This window comes from Homo sapiens, chromosome 15 (genome assembly GCF_000001405.40).
Source record: "Homo sapiens chromosome 15, GRCh38.p14 Primary Assembly".
NCBI lineage: Eukaryota > Metazoa > Chordata > Mammalia > Primates > Hominidae > Homo > Homo sapiens.
The window spans coordinates 65,557,645-65,573,850 of NC_000015.10; the positions used below are offsets into that span (position 1 = coordinate 65,557,645).

The 16,206-nt window shown below is 42.3% G+C and overlaps 1 protein-coding gene and 1 non-coding gene across 3 annotated transcripts in view; one reads left to right on the top strand and one right to left on the bottom strand.

The window, feature by feature from the left end:
* Positions 1-16,206, top strand: part of HACD3 (3-hydroxyacyl-CoA dehydratase 3) — a 47,887-nt gene that overhangs the window by 27,182 nt on the left and 4,499 nt on the right. For both annotated transcript variants that reach the window (NM_016395.4, NM_001411136.1), the window contains exons 5-10: positions 1,036-1,087; positions 5,130-5,240; positions 6,571-6,698; positions 12,447-12,559; positions 13,904-14,010; positions 14,591-14,722. In NM_016395.4, coding sequence (NP_057479.2) covers positions 1,036-1,087; positions 5,130-5,240; positions 6,571-6,698; positions 12,447-12,559; positions 13,904-14,010; positions 14,591-14,722 — 643 coding nt within the window. The remainder of the gene's footprint in view (positions 1-1,035; positions 1,088-5,129; positions 5,241-6,570; positions 6,699-12,446; positions 12,560-13,903; positions 14,011-14,590; positions 14,723-16,206) is intronic.
* On the bottom strand, positions 13,329-13,429 carry LOC124903602 (small nucleolar RNA U13). The gene has a single exon (XR_007064829.1). It is a non-coding gene; the product is annotated as a small nucleolar RNA U13 (small nucleolar RNA).

Consider the following 16,206-nt stretch of genomic DNA (forward strand, 5'->3'; position numbering starts at 1 on the left):
GTTATGCTTCCTGTCCTTTAGATGGAGGGAGTATCTACATAATTTATTTGGAATTCTTCTGCATAGGAGAATAATTATGCATGTCTATTGTCTCCCATTTATTTATTCAATCATTTATATCATGTGAGTACATGGGTATTTATTTTATACTTTGAGTTATAATCTAATATTATTTATTTTGTTGCTCAAATTCTTCCAGCTTTGGCACTAACTGGCCTTTGGTTATGTCCTCATCCTGCCCATCTTTCATTTGGCTTTTGTATCTTTTTGAGAAAGCGCCATCATTATGGGACTGTTTTTTTTTTTTTTTTTGAGCACTTCCTTACTTTCTGGCAGTATAAGCTGCTCCAGGCTTATCTTGCATGTATGTTTCCTGCTCCAGCCCTGGAACAGCCATTTCTTCAAGCATCTCTGTTCTTATTGTGGAATAGCATTGGAAACCAAGATCTGGGTGCCGGGTATGCTCATTGCTACCAGGTTGCCATTGCCTTTAAGTTCTCTTCACTGACAGAACAAGAAAATATATGTTTGGATAGTAACCCATGCATACACATACACCTGTAAATATTTCTGTATGGATCCATCTGTATCTCTGTTAAGCTAAACGTGAGTTCATAGTGATGTTGGAAACATGATCTTAGCTTCTGGAAAAATTATACTAAAATTCTAGAAGTCTTGAAAAATAAAATAGCAGTCTACCTCCTGCCTTAAACTTCTGTTTTATTTCTCTGACTGCGACAGATCTTCTGGATGTCCTTTCCAGCTTTAAGATTCCAAGGTCACTTGTCAGTTTGGAAGCCAGCTCACTGGGTTAATTTTGTGAACAATGGATGGGCACCTGTGATGCTAATGCTGCTTAGTAAGCAGGAGTCAGGCGTTTGGCCCTATGACCTAGAATATTCTCCCAATGATGCACTGACCCCAACTGGAGGAGTTGGCTTTGAGGGAGTCAGATTACTCAGCCAGCATATGGACTTTTGCAAGCATCTGGGAATTCTAACTTGTGTTCTTGGAAAACTTTTGTCTAAATTCTAGGAAGAAGAGCGCCTAAATAAACTCCGACTGGAAAGCGAAGGCTCTCCTGAAAGTAAGTTGTGCTGCTGCCATGGTAGTTACCAGTTAACTTGTGCTAGTGTTGGAAGTATGGATAATTGTGATGTGGCAGGAGAGCTAATGATTTCATCCCGGTGAGCTGTGTGGGTGAGTTTATGAAAAAGCTTTTAGGTCCAGTGCTTAAGGTCTGCACTACCCACGTCAGAATCCTTACCTTTAATGTGTCCTTTGTGTTTTGGTTGTTATTTCATGAGTACACCAAGGCTAGTGTAGCAGAATGAAAGAACTCCTGGACTGGCCTCATGGCAGATGGCAACCAAATCCTGCAGAGACTTGTGGAAATGATTGCATGGATCCAAGGCTACACTCCTTCAGCCTGGTGTTTTTCTCCCAGCTGAAATCTCAAAGGCTGTATGATACATAAGTGTGGTTGTCAGCCTGAAAGATGGAGAGTATTCTGTGTAGTCCTGCTATTCATTAACCTTTAACAAATCAATTTCTGTTTCCGTCTAACCACTTTAAGCAGGAAGCTCTGTAAGTGTATTATCTTCTGGGTGATGTAGTTAGATTAAATTCAGCAGCTATCTGTTAAAGTCATGCTGTGTGGCAAGCATTGTGCTGGGCCCTTGACTAAGAGCCAGAGGGATCCATCGTAGCGCCTATACTCAAAAGGGCTTACATTCTTAGTGAGGGAACTGCAGGTGTATGTAAAACTACCTCTGAAAAGCAGAATGAAATAAGTCCTTCTTACTTGTTCTAAGTTGAAATTTTTCAAATTTTAGTGGTACTTATCTAGCATGCCATAAATAAGGGAGGGGAAAGTTTTGGAGCAGTAGTTTTCAAACTGTGTTCCATGGTGCCCCAGGGGGTTCCCAGAGATGCTTTGGAGGAGTAGATCACACAAACAGGTCTACCTCAGTCAGAGCAGCTCTCTTTTGAGTGTTATGTGTTGGCATTCCGAATAAGGTTTCTTTTGAGAAGGAATTTTAAAAAATATTTGAATAGCGACTACCTTAGGGGAATATTCTTTCAGGAAAGCCGAGGAGGGGAGAGGTTCAGTGGAGGCAAAGAATAACAACATAAAAAAGCCACTTTGAGATTTAAATTAATGTTTTGGTGTCTTAAAGGGATAAACTTCAAAAATAGATAAAAATTCTAATATATGGATTTTTTGGGTGTTAGGTAAAGCTTTAACTGTTTTACCTAAATTCATAAAGTTTTCTGAACAAGGAAGTTCTTTATGGTGGGGAAGTGTAATAGATTTTTGTAGTTTTGAAGAAATAACTTTTAATTAGCTAAATGTTGCTAGAAGTCTGACATTTTTTGGAGTCTTAGGATAAGGCTGTGTTGTTTTTTTTTTTTTGAGATGGGGTCTTGCTATGCTGTCCAGGCTGATCTTAAGATACTGGGCTCAAGTGATCCTTCTACCTCAGCCTCCCAAGTAGCTGGGATTACAGGCATATGCCACTGTGCCTGGCTTAGGCTGCTTTTGATTGACCACATTATTAAATGTGATTATTTGAGGACCAACCAGATGTCTTTGCAGAATATCTGTAGCCTAGGAATAAATATGTAGCAGCAAAATCTGAACACCATAGATCTCCTCTTAAGAACTGTCCTTTTCTTTACCCTACTCCTTTGACTCAACAATGACTCTGTCAAAGCCTCTTGTTTCTTCCTTTACTCTGTAATTGGCTGTATCTTCATGAATCTTAGGCTGCAGATAAAATTAATGTCCCTTATTTTCCTGCATGTTGGTTTGAAATTGTCCTGCTTTGGTTATGTCCTCAGTCTGCCCATCTTTCAAAGCCCAGATCAGGCCAAGTATGATGGCTCATGCCTCTAATCCCAGCACTTTGGGAGACTGAGGCGGGAGGATCTTTTAGGCCAGGAGTTCGAGATCAGACTGGGCAACGTAGCAAGACTGTGTTTCTACAAAACATAATGGAATATAAAATTAGCAAGGTGTGGTGGCACAGACCTGTAGAACTAACTACTTGGGCGGTGAGGTGGGAGGATGGGTTGACTCCAGGAGGTCAGGGCTGCAGAGAGCTATGGTCCCACCACTGCATTCTAACCTGGGAACAGAGTGAGACCCTATCTCAAAAAAAAAAAAAAAAAAGCCCGGATTAGATACCAGCTTTATCCATGTAGACTAGCTTGATGCCTACTTCTCCAGCCTAATGTCGTTTTTTCACCTTGAAAGTTTCACAAGACATTACTTGTTACTCCCCACCTGGTATTACAGTTTTTAGATTGTAAGCTCTGAGGGCAGCCTTGAACTACCTTTGTATCCCAGTAGTTCTTCTCACAGTACCTTGCACATTGTAGGTATTCAGTTAATGCTTGGTTGAGTGAATATATAACCAAATATCAGGGTTGTTTTTTTCATTTACTGTATCTGTCTCTTTGAGCTAGTTTGACCTCAGTGACCTTAAAGAAATTCCAGAAAAGAAGAAACTATGGATTATATTAAGATGACTGGAGGGCCAGGCACGGTGGCTCATGCCTGTAATCCCAGCACTTTGGGAGGCCAAGGTGGGCAGATCACCTGAGGTTAGGAGTTTAAGACCACCCTGGCCAACATGATGAAACCCTGTCTCTGCTAAAATACAAAAATTAGCCGGGCGTGGTGGCGGAAGCCTGTAATCTCAGCTACTCGGGAGGCTGAGGCAGGAGAATTGCTTGAACCTGGGAGGTGGAGCGTGCAGTGAGCCGAGATTGTGCCACTGCACTCCAGCCTGGGTGACAGAGCAAGACTCTGTCTCAAAAAAAAAAGAAAAAAAAAATTGAGCCGGAGCTGAGGAAATCTTTATTTCCTTTTTGTAATGCCTCTTCAGATGGCCACTCATTTTTTTGCCAGGTGTTATGGAAAAAATACAACACTACAACACTCAACTGCTTTTTCCTATTTTCTTACTCAACAACAATCAACACAGAAGACTTCTGTGACCAAGTGGGTGGGTTTTTTCCCCCACATACCAAGCAAGCAATGAGTTCTGCAGCAGACACCAGCTGGGTGCCCTCTGGTTCAATTCTGACACTGTTTACCTAGAGATAGCATCAGGTTCCCACAGATGGAGGGCTCAGTCCCCAAGACACACCCCTGCCCCCAGCCTGTCCCGAGTCTGAACCTCCAGAACTTGTGACCAATAGGCTGTAAATTACGGTTCCCACAACCCGCTCCTGTGGTTTGATTGATTTGCTAGCGTGGCTCCACAGAACTCAGGGAAACACATTTGTTCATTTATTATAAGGGATATTATGAAGGATACAGATGAAGAGATTAGGAGGAAGTATGGAGGAAGTGGCGCGGAGCTTCCATGCCCTCCCCAGGTGTGCCACCCTCCAGGAACCTCCGTGTGTTCAGCTGTCTGGAAGCTGACTAAACCCTGTCCCCTTGGGCCTTTTATGGAGACTTCATCGGATAGGCATGACTGAAGCGTGTTGAACTGTGTTGAAATGTGATTGGACAAAAAGGGTCTGACCTAAACCCAGCAAGGCCTGTCTGTCCAGATTCTTCTCAGCCTCTCTGTGCAGTGTTCCCTCCTCCAGAGTATGAGGCAAGACCCTCTCTGGAATGAGGGTCTTAGGACCCACAATCAGATTAGAGTCGTGCCTTGGGCAGCTGAAAGGAAGGCAGGGAAGGTCATAGAGGGAGATTCTGTTGTCTGAGGCCTAAAGTGTCCCAACATTATAACAAAAAACTGTAACAAGGGCTGTGGGAGTTATAAGCCAGAAACCGTTGCCGAAAACCTATATATACATATACACATATCATAATATCACACCAGGGGTAATATTTTTTTCTTGGGTTTGTTATGTCTGTATACCTATTCTTCAAGGCTGGGAAAGGAAGTCCTGCTGAAAATACATGCTGGAGAGCAATGTTCCTTGTATGTTTCTCTGTGGGAGTAGGAGCCCAGGCTGGTGAGGACCTGGACCAGGTATTTGTGTGGGAGCTTAGGAGCATTCAGGAAGGAAAAAGGGTTGAAGTCATCCAGATATGCCTCATACACCTGTCTCCTGCTGGGACTATTGCTTTTAATAGCTTACTGCTTTGCTTTGCTTTACAGCTCTTACAAACTTAAGGAAAGGATACCTGTTTATGTATAATCTTGTGCAATTCTTGGGATTCTCCTGGATCTTTGTCAACCTGACTGTGCGATTCTGTATCTTGGGAAAAGGCAAGTAAGACATTTTTGGATTAATTTTCCCTTTCTCAGTAGTTTGGCCCAGTATTCACCAAAGGGAGCACTCTCTGCCTTTGATGTTAATAATAACCCCTGCATTTGTGCAGCACCCTCTACTTTTCGTTGTGCTTTCATAGCTCTTATTTCCCATGGCCTTGTGAAATAAGCTGACTGGTATTCTTTCCATATAACAGGTAATAAAATATAGGCCTAGAGATGGTCAAAAATGGTTCACATCCATAGCTAGCCAGAGCCACATCTTGGGCTAGAATCCTTTTGTAAAAATGTTCACTAACAACTAAATAAATTGATGTGATACTTCCAGTGCCAAAGTTATGCAAGGCCAAAAGGGTTCTCACCCTTTTGGAGCCTAAATACGTTCTAAAATGAACTATTCTAAAACAGAATAAAAAGAGCATCATAAAGATATTAGTTCTTCTTAAATTAATTTATGTGTTTAGCAGGATTCTGGCTTTGACCAGTGGCATTCCATTGGTAAATGCCAATGGGAAATTTTTGAGAATTTGATCTAAAGTATTCTGAAACTTTATTTGATGAATAAATAGGTAATAAAATTTAGGAGAAGAAAGATTAATGGGAGAGGATTTTTCTACCTGATAATGAAAGTATGGACCAGGTGTAGTAGCTCATACCTGTAATCCCAGCACTTTAACAGGCTGAAGTGGAAGGATCTCTTGCGCCCAGGAGGTTGAAGCTGCAGTAAGCCGTGATCATGACACTGTACTCTAGACTGGGTGATGGAGCAAGACCTTGACTCTTAAAAAAATTTAGAAAGGTGGCTGTGCGTGGTGGCTCACGCCTGTAATCCCAGTACTTTGGGAGGTCTAGGTGGGCAGATCACGAGGTCAAGAGATCGAGACCATCCTGGTCAACATGGTGAAACCCCCATCTCTACTAAAATTACAAAAATTAGCTGGGCATGGTGGTGCGTGCCTGTAGTCCCAGCTACTCGGGAGGCTGAGGCAGGAGAATCACTTGAACCCAGGAGGCGGGGGTTGCAGTGAGCCAAGATCGTGCCACTGCACTGCAGCCTGGTGACAGAGTAAGACTCCATCTCAAAAAAAAAAAAGAGAAAGGCATATAAGGTGTACGTGTTAACTTTCTGGTAACTGGTAGAGCTTACTATTCATGACCCCATTGGCCTGCACCCTTCCTGCTTAGTTAAGTAAGAAACTTGAATCTGACTGGATGTTTGTTATTCCTTTCTTACAGTTATTTTCACGAAAGGAGTAATCTAGTTTGAGAAATAGTTCTGTTGGAATTTACCAACTGATTCACCCTTAATGTATATTTTTGCCTATAGAGTCCTTTTATGACACATTCCATACTGTGGCTGACATGATGTATTTCTGCCAGATGCTGGCAGTTGTGGAAACTATCAATGCAGCAATTGGAGTCACTACGTCACCGGTGCTGCCTTCTCTGATCCAGGTATTGAATAGTTAAGCTGAAGGGTGGGTAATGGAAGGTCCCATTATTTGTCTAGTGGGTATGTGTATTAGTCCATTTTCATGCTGCTCATAAAGACATACCTGAGACTGGGCAGTTTACAAAAGAAAGAGGTTTAATTGGACTTACAGTTCCATGTGGCTGGGAAGGTCTCACGATCATGGTGGAGGGCGAAAGGCACTTCTTACGTGGTGGCGGCAAGAGAGAATGAGGAAGAAGCAAAAGCAGAAACTCCTGATAAACCCATCAGATCTCGTGAGACTTATTCACTATCCTGAGAATAGCATGGGAAAGACCGGCCGCACTGATTCATTTACCTCCCCCTAGGTCCCTGCCACAACACGTGGGAATCCTGGGAGATACAATTAAAGTTGAAATTTGAATGGGGACACAGCCAAACCATATCATTCTAGCCGTGGCCCCTCCAAATCTCATACCCTCACATTTCAAAACCAATCATGCCTTCTCAACAGTCCCCCAAAGTCTTATTTCAGCATTAACCCCAAAGTCCACAGTCCAAAGTCTCATCTGAGACAAGGCAAGTCCCTTCTGCCTTTGAGCCTGTAAAATCAAAGCACACTAGTTACTTCCTAGATACAAGGGGAGTACTGGCATTGGGTAAATACAGCCGTTCCAAATGGGAGAAATTGGCCAAAATAAAGGGGTTACAGTGCCCATGCAAGTCTGAAATCCAGTGGGGCGGTCAAACTTTAAAGCTCCAAAATGATCTCCTTTGACTCCAGGTCTCACATCCAGGTCACGCTGATGCAAAAGGTGGGTTCCCATGGTCTTAGGCAGCTCCACTCCTGTGACTTTGCAGGGAGCAGCCTCCCTCCCGGCTGCTTTCACCGGCTGGCATTGAGTGTCTGCAGCTTTTCCAGGTGCATGGTGCAAGCTGTCAGTGGATCTACCACTTTGGGGTCTGGAGGATGGCGGCCTCTTCTCACAGCTCCACTAGGCAGTGCCCCAGTAGGGATTCTGTGTGGGGGCTCCAACCCCATGTTTCCCTTCCTCACTGCCCTAGCAGAGGTTCTCCATGAGGGCCCCATCCCTGCAGCAAACTTTTGCCTGGGCATCCAGGCATTTCCATACATCTTCTGAAATCTGGGCGGAGGTTTCCAAACCTCAATTCTTGACTTCTCTGCACCCACAGGCTCACCACCACGTGGAAGCTGCCAAGGCTTGGGGCTTGCACCCTCTGAAGCCACAGCCTGAGCTGTACATTGGCCCCTCTCAGCCAAGGCTGGAGCAGCTGGGACACAGGGCACCAAATCCCTAGGTTGCACACAGCACAGGGACCCTGGGCCTCCGCGCCTGTGATGGGAGGGACTGCCATGAAGGCCTCTGACATGGTCTGGTTACATTTTCCCCATGGTCTTGGGGATTACATTGGGGATTACGTTAGGCTCCTTGCTACTTGTGCAAATTTCTGCAGCCAGCTTGAGGTTCTCCTCAAAAAATGGGTTTTTCTTTTCTACTGAATCATCAGGCTGCAAATTTTCCAAACTTTTATGCTGTTTCTCTTTTAAAACGGAATGCTTTTAACAGCACCCAAGTCACCTCTTGAATGCTTTTCTGCTTAGAAATTTCTCCTGCCAGATACCCTAAATCATCTCTCTCAAGTTCAGAGTTCTACAGATCTCTAGGGCAGGGGCAAAATGCTGCCAGTCTCTTTGCTAAAATATAACAAGAGTCACCTTTGCTCCAGTTCACCTTTGCTTCCAAGAGGTTCTTCATCTCCATCTGAGACTACCTCAGCCTGGACTTTATTGTTCATATCACTATCAGCATTTTTGTCGAAGCCATTCAACAAATCTCTACGAGGTTCCAAACTTACCTACATTTTCCTATCTTCTTCTGAGCCCTCCAAACTGTTCCAACCTCTGTCTGTTACCCAGTTCCAAGGTCACTTCCACATTTTCGGGTATCTTTTCAGCAACATCCAACTTTACTGGTACCAATTTACTGTATTAGTCCGTTTTCCCACTGCTGATAAAGACATACCTGAAACCAGGCCGTTTACAAAAGAAAGAGGTTTAATTGGATTTACAGTTCCATGTGGCGGGGGAAGGTCTCACAATTGTGGTGCAGGGCAAAAGGCACTTCTTACATGGCGGTGGCAAGAGAGAATGAGGAAGAAACAAAAGCGGAAACCCCTGATAAGCCCGCCAGATCTTGTGAGACTTATTTACTAACATGGGAATAGCACGGGAAGACCAGCCCCCATGATTCAGTTACCTCCCCCTGGGTCCCTTCCACAACATGTGGGAATTCTAGGAGATACAATTCAAGCTGACATTTGAATGGGGACACAGCCAAACCATATCTGTATGTTACATTTTGCTAAGAAGTCTCAATTAGTAAAAACACCTATTTGTACAGGAATAGCATTATTTTACCTGAACAAGAAAGAACATTTAAAACCCCAGGGTTATTTACCAAAGTAGACTTTTACTATTTCAGGTCTTTTTCATTTTTTATAATATCCTTATGAAATCACAAAGTTATAAAGAGCTTTAAGACTAGGGAAATTTGACTCTTAGGCAGGAGCTGAAAAACCTACCTTCAGTCTCCTTAGTTAGAAATGTATGTGGTCTCCTCCCACCTTGTGTAGATGAAGGCAGTACTTCTTAAAAACTTGTATTAATGAAAAGTACAATAATCAAACTTTAAAATTTACAGCCAGGCATGGTGGCTCATTCCTGTAATCCCCATACTTTGGGAAGCTGAGGTAGGAGGATTGCTTGAGGCCAGCAGTTGGAGACCACCCTTGGCAGCATAGTGAGACCCCATTTCTAAAAAAATAAAAATTTGCCAGGCATGGTGATGTGCACCTATATTCCCACTACTTGGGAGGCTGAGACGGAAGGATTCCTTGAGTGCAGGAGTTCGATGTTGCAGTGAGCTGGGATTGTGCCACTGCCCTCCAACCTGGGCAGCAGAGCGAGACCCCTGTCTCTAAAAAAAATAAAAAATAAAAATTTAATGGATAGTTTGTGTTGTAGATTAGACATAGCTGAAGAGAAAATTAGTGAACTGTTTTGAGATACAGGAAGGAATAGAGAGCACAAAAAGTAAATATACAGACGTAATTTTCTTGAATTATAAGACTCAATATTATAATATTGTTAGTTCTCATATTTCCCTGTAGATTCAATACATTTCCAATCACAATCTAAAAAATTTTGGAATGTGAGGAGAAAATTCTGAAGCTTTTTGAAAAAACAGAGGGCCATCCAGGATAGTAGCATCATTTTCGATAACTAAAATGTGCAAGCAACCCAAGTGTTCATCTACAGATGAATGGATAAGAATGACTGTTACATACATACAATGGGATATTATGTAGCCTTAAAAATGAAAGAAATTCTCTCGTATGCTACAATGTGGATGAACCTTAAGGAAACTATGCTAAGTGAAATAAGCCAGTCACAGAAAGTCAAATACTAGATGATTCTGCTTACATGGGGTACTTAAAATAGTCAAAACCATAGAGACAGAAAGTAGGATGGTGTTTGCCAGGGGCTGGCTGAATGGGGAGTTATTGTTTAATGGGTCATAGTTTCTTTCTTTTTTTTTTTTTTGAGAGTCTCGCCCTGTCGCCCAAGCTGGAGTGCAGTGGCACAATCTAGGCTCACTGCAGCCCCTGCCTCCTGGGTTCACGCAATTCTCCTACCTCAGCCTCCCGAGTAGCTAGGAATACAGGTGCCCATCACCACGCCCAGCTAATTTTTGTAGTTTTAGTAGAGATGGGGTTTCCCATGTTGGCCAGGCTGGTCTCGAACTCCTGACCCCAGGTGATCTACCCGCCTCGGCCTTCCAAAGTGCTGGGATTACAGACGTGAGCCACCGTGCCCGGCAATGGGTCATAGTTTCTATTTTACAAGATGAAAAGAGTTGTGGAGATGGATGGTGATTATGGTTGCACAACATAATGAAGGTATTTGATACCACTCAACTAAACACTTAAAAAATGATTAAGATGGTAAAGTTTATGTTATGTGTATTTTTTTTTTTTCAGATGGTGTTTCACTGTCACCCAGGCTGGAGTGCAGTGGTGTGACCTTGGCTCACTGCAACCTCGGCCTCCCACGTTCAAGCGATTCTCCTACCTCAGCCTCCCGAGTAGCTGGGACTACAGGCATCTGCCACCACGCCTGGCTAATTTTTGTATTTTTAATAGAGATGGGGTTTCACCATGTTGTCCAGTCTGGTCTTGAACTCCTGACCTCAAATGATCTGCCAGCCTCGGCCTCCCAAAGTGCTGGGATTACAGGCATGAGCCACCGCACCCAGCCATTATGTGTATTTTACCACAATTTTTAAAATGGGAAAAAGAAAAAAGCAAAAGGTCGAGAATATTCTTTAAAGACGAGCTCAAATTGGGGACTTACCCTATAAAAAATCAAGACAGTATAAAGATTTAGTAGCTAATACCACGTTGTATGGTACAAAGATAGTCACACAGACCACGGGAACAGAATAAAACCCAGAAACAGACAACCCAGATATCTATGAAGAATAGAATGTCTATCATATATTGGAATGTCTTGCCACGTGAAAATGAGTGGACTATAGCCACATGCATCAACATAGATGAGTCTTGGCCGGGCGCGGTGGCTCATGCCTGTAATCCCAGCACTTTGGGAGGCCGAGGCGGGTGGATCACAAGGTCAGGAGATCGAGACCATCCTGGCTAACATGGTGAAACCCCGTCTCTACTAAAAAATAGAAAAAATTAGCTGAGCGTGGTGGCGGGCGCCTGTAGTCCCAGCTACTCGGGAGGCTGAGGCAGGAGAATGGCATGAACCCGGGAGGCGGAGCTTGCAGTGAGCCAAGATCGTGCCACTGCACTCCAGCCTGGACGACAGAGCGAGACTCTGTCTCAAAAAAAAAAAAAACAAGACCAAAAAACATAGATGAGTCTCTGGCCCGTAACTCTGAGTAAGAAGTAGTCACAGAATGATACATATAGAATGATTTCAGAAAGTTTTAAAACAGGCAAAATGAAACAATATACTGTTCAGGAATACATACACAAGCAGTAATTCATAAAGAAAAGCCATGGGCCAGGCACAGTGGCTCATGCCTATAATCCCAGCACTCTGGGAGGCTGACGCAAGAGGATCACTTGAGCCCAAGAGTTTGAGCAAGCTTGGCCAACACAGTGAGACCCCGTCTCTACAAAAAAATAAAATTAGCCAGTGTGGTAGTACACACACCTGTGATCCCAGCTACTTGAGAGGCTGAAGTGGGAGGATTGCTTGAGCCCAGAAGTTCAAGGCTGCAGTGAGCCATGATTGCACCACTGCACTCCAGCCCGGGTGACGGAGCGAGACCCCGTCTCGATAAAAAAGAAAAGCCATGGAATTATTAACACATGATAGTAGTTATTTATAGGGGTCCCACGTTTGTAGTGCTCTATTTCTTAACTTGGGTTATATAAACTCAAATGTTTATTTGGCAGTATTCTTTAGACTGCGTTTGAACATGTGTCTGTATTTTAAAGAAATGATTTATGATATAGTTACACAAAATACTGTACCTGTCTAGTCACAAAGACTGGTTTGGGCACTTTACTTGTTCCAGAACTGGAGCAGGATTAAACTGGTCGAGGTCAATCTTTTCTATTTGCCTTGCATTTAGTGGGGTTAGATTTCAGATAACACATTTCTATAACTTTACATATATTTTATTAACTTTTTTCTCTCTTTTGGGTCTTTCTAATAGCTTCTTGGAAGAAATTTTATTTTGTTTATCATCTTTGGCACCATGGAAGAAATGCAGAACAAAGCTGTGGTTTTCTTTGTGTTTTATTTGTGGAGTGCAATTGAAATTTTCAGGTGGGTAGAAATGCCAGGATGGTGTTTGAATGCTGCTCCCTGTTTGCAGCAGCTCTGTTCTTGAGGGAGTTGTTATCTTAGCCAGAGTCTCATTTGGTTTGGGACTAAGATTACATATGTGGAGAATTCTGGTTGCACCTATGTGCTCTGCAAAGTTGAGACAGATTTTTTTAAAGCCGTCATTGGATCATAATACCAGACTGGATACTAGGGAGCAGAAGAGGAGAACCAGAGAAAGGGAAGACTCATCTTACCATGACTTCAGGATCTTGCAGTCTTGGAAAGAGAGGACCCATCCACATGGAAAAATTCTTGAAAGGGCTGAAGAAACAGGAGGTTGAAGGAGCAATCCAGGTTGGATAGAACTAATTTAAGACTAAATTTCTACAAGGGATGATAGAAATGAATCTTATACCACAAGATTATTGAAGTTTGAAATGGCCTCTAACCCAATTTTCCCGTTCTCGGTTGTTAGTAGCATAAATATCTTTTAAGAAATGGATCTAGTTAAAGTAGATGTATTCTTCTTTACCAGACCATACACACTCCATATGTCTTCCCTTTCAGTCAGCTGGAGCAAGGATTTTGCAAATGAACTTCTCAGCTCCAGGTTTGGTGGTATTTTGACAAAGTTGCTAGTTGAGAGAGAGAACAGGCCATAGCAGCCTTAAATTGTGTCTTAACCATGGTCTGTGTCCCATGGCACCCAGTGTACCCTCTAATAGCCTTAATACAAAGGTAAAACAGATTATAGGTCCTATGTTTTTCAAATCAGACACGTAATGTGCTGATGTAACAAGGTTTGAGGGAAGCACATCTCACACAGGAGAGTGAAAATCCAGTTATCACACTTATGAGCTATAAAAGGATCAGATTATGGGTCCTTAATGCAATGTTTACTGTTTGAGAAGGAACATTTATTTTCTCAAGGGATGTCTTTTAAAATAGCATATGTCTGATTCTAGATTAGAGGTCTTCTGTATACTTTAATTTTGGTAACAACTCACTTATCCAGAAATAAAGTATCTAATATCCTTACCCACCGGGAATGTATATCAGCACTAGGAATAAAGCCAAAAAACATCTGAGTATCCAGTCCGTTTACCGAATAAAGAGGGTTCCTTTGAGACCTAAACTTAGTCTGCCATTAAAGAGCGTTCAGATCCTTTGAAAATTTAGGGCGCAGTGTGGCAGGAGTTTATGGGTTGATAGCCAGCGTTATAATTCTGTTCTGAAGAAGCCATGTGTGGCTGAGAAATAGAATTCTTCTATTTAAATGATATTCTAAGGTTGCATTCGGAACCTGAAGTGGCTTTTCACATTGGAATCATTTATTTTCAATAGGTACTCTTTCTACATGCTGACGTGCATTGACATGGATTGGAAGGTGCTCACATGGCTTCGTTACACTCTGTGGATTCCCTTATATCCACTGGGATGTTTGGCGGAAGGTACTCTCAGGGACTCTTAGCTTTCATAGCTTAGCTCCAGGGGGTACCCAGAGGCTGAGAGACCAGTCCTTTCTTCCCCGGCCTTAGTCCGATAAATGGAAATGTTGGATTTTTCAGGGATTTCTTTCCATGGGCTTCCTTCCATAATACTCCTGGTACCCAGACTGTTCGAGAAAAGTAGCTCATTTTGTAACATTGGAAAGCCAGGTGGTTATGTCCTGCATGCTTCCCATTTGTATGATGCTTTTAGTATTCCAAAGGGGGTTCTTACTGATGACTTTATTTTATTCTGACAAACATCTCATACATAAGTCAGCTAGGGATTTTCCTCTCCATTTTATAGAATAGAAGAAGCCCACTACCATGACTTCCTCATCTGTCTCTCTGTTGACAGGTTGGAGGCTGATCTCTTAGAAAAGTAGGGGAAAAAAAGGAGAGGCATGAGCTTTCTGTACAAAGGGAGGAGAAAGCCTTTCCAGCACACCCAGAACTGAAACTTTAGAGTACTAGGACTGGAAGTTCCTGTCATTAAATGTGACTGTTTCATTTGCTTCTAACAAGTTCTTGTTTCTGTTTTCAGCTGTCTCAGTGATTCAGTCCATTCCAATATTCAATGAGACCGGACGATTCAGTTTCACATTGCCATATCCAGTGAAAATCAAAGTTAGATTTTCCTTTTTTCTTCAGATTTATCTTATAATGATATTTTTAGGTAAGTATTGATTCTTTAATACAGACTTTTTCTTGTCACTTCTTAGACAGTAGAATTAAATCATTCAGAAATGTAAAAGTCCATATGAGAATTCTTTTGGGACAGAATTAGAGAATGATTACTTTGCAAAAACAGACCCACTAGGGGAATATGCTATGGTAAGGAAATATTTCTTTTCTAAATCTCCAGCAGTTAAATTATGTTCTTTAAGTGCTCTTGGTGATTGGGAATATACCATAAGATATTTCTTGTTTAAAACAATGTAAGGGGACAGGCATGGTGGCTCACGCTTGTAATCCCAGCACTTTGGGAGGCTGAGGTGGGCACATCACAAGGTCAGGAGTTCGAGACCAGCCTGATCAACGTGGTGAAACCCTGTCTCTACTAAAAATACAAAAATTAGTTGGGTGTGGTGGCGGGTGCCTGTAATCTCAGCTACTCAGGAGGCTGAGGCAGGAGAATCGCTTGAACCCGGGAGGCAGAGGTTGCAGTGACCTGAGATTGCAGCATTGCACTCCACCCTGGGCGACAGAGCGGGACTTTGTCTCAAAAAAAAAAAAAAAATAAATAAATAAATAAAAATTAAAAAAAAAAAAGTAAGGAGCCTTTTAAAATAGACTAAGAAGCTCCCACTTTTACTAATTTCAGTAGCATATTCCTCATCCAGAGTTTATAGAGGTGATAAGACAACCAGCAGCAAGGAAGGAAGAAGGGAATAAAGGCCTCTGAGCAGCCAAGGGTTGTCATAAAGCCTTCCACCTCACAATAGGAAAGTCCCCTGCTCCTCATGGAAAACCTGCTGACCTATTAATTTATATAAAATCATAAATTCCTGCCTTTATAAACTAACAGAAGGGAAAAAGAAAGAAACCTAAATTATTACAAATATGACAAATTTAAAAGGCTTCCTAACTATAAGGATTTTTTTTTGTTGTTGTTGTTGTTAAATTCTTATTAGAGGCCAGGTATGGTGGTTCATGCCTGTAATCCCAGCACTTTGGGAGGCTGAGGTGGGTAGATCACTTGAGGACAGAAGTTTGAGACCAACCTGGCCAACATGGCAAAACCCTGTCTCTACTAAAAGTACAAAAATTGGCTGGGCTTGGTGGCGCATGCCTGTAATTCCAGCTACTTGGGAGGCTGAGGCAGGAGAATCGCTTGAACCCAGGAGGCAGAGGTTACAATGAACCGAGATTGTGCCACTGCACTCCAGCCTGTGTGACAGAGCAAGACTCTGTCTCAAAAAAAAAAAAAATTTATTAGTAATCAGTATTTGGTAATTTCTAAATGCAACTATACATGATTCTACCCATATTATCTATACTATACTCTATACATAGATGTGAAAATACATACATTCTTATGTGTAGGTTAAATACAATTTGAGAAAAATAATTTTTTCCTTTTAAGAGCAAACTAATACGTATCGATTTTAGTATGACAACTAAGAACATAAAAACAGAATGAAAGGAATTTTGTCATTA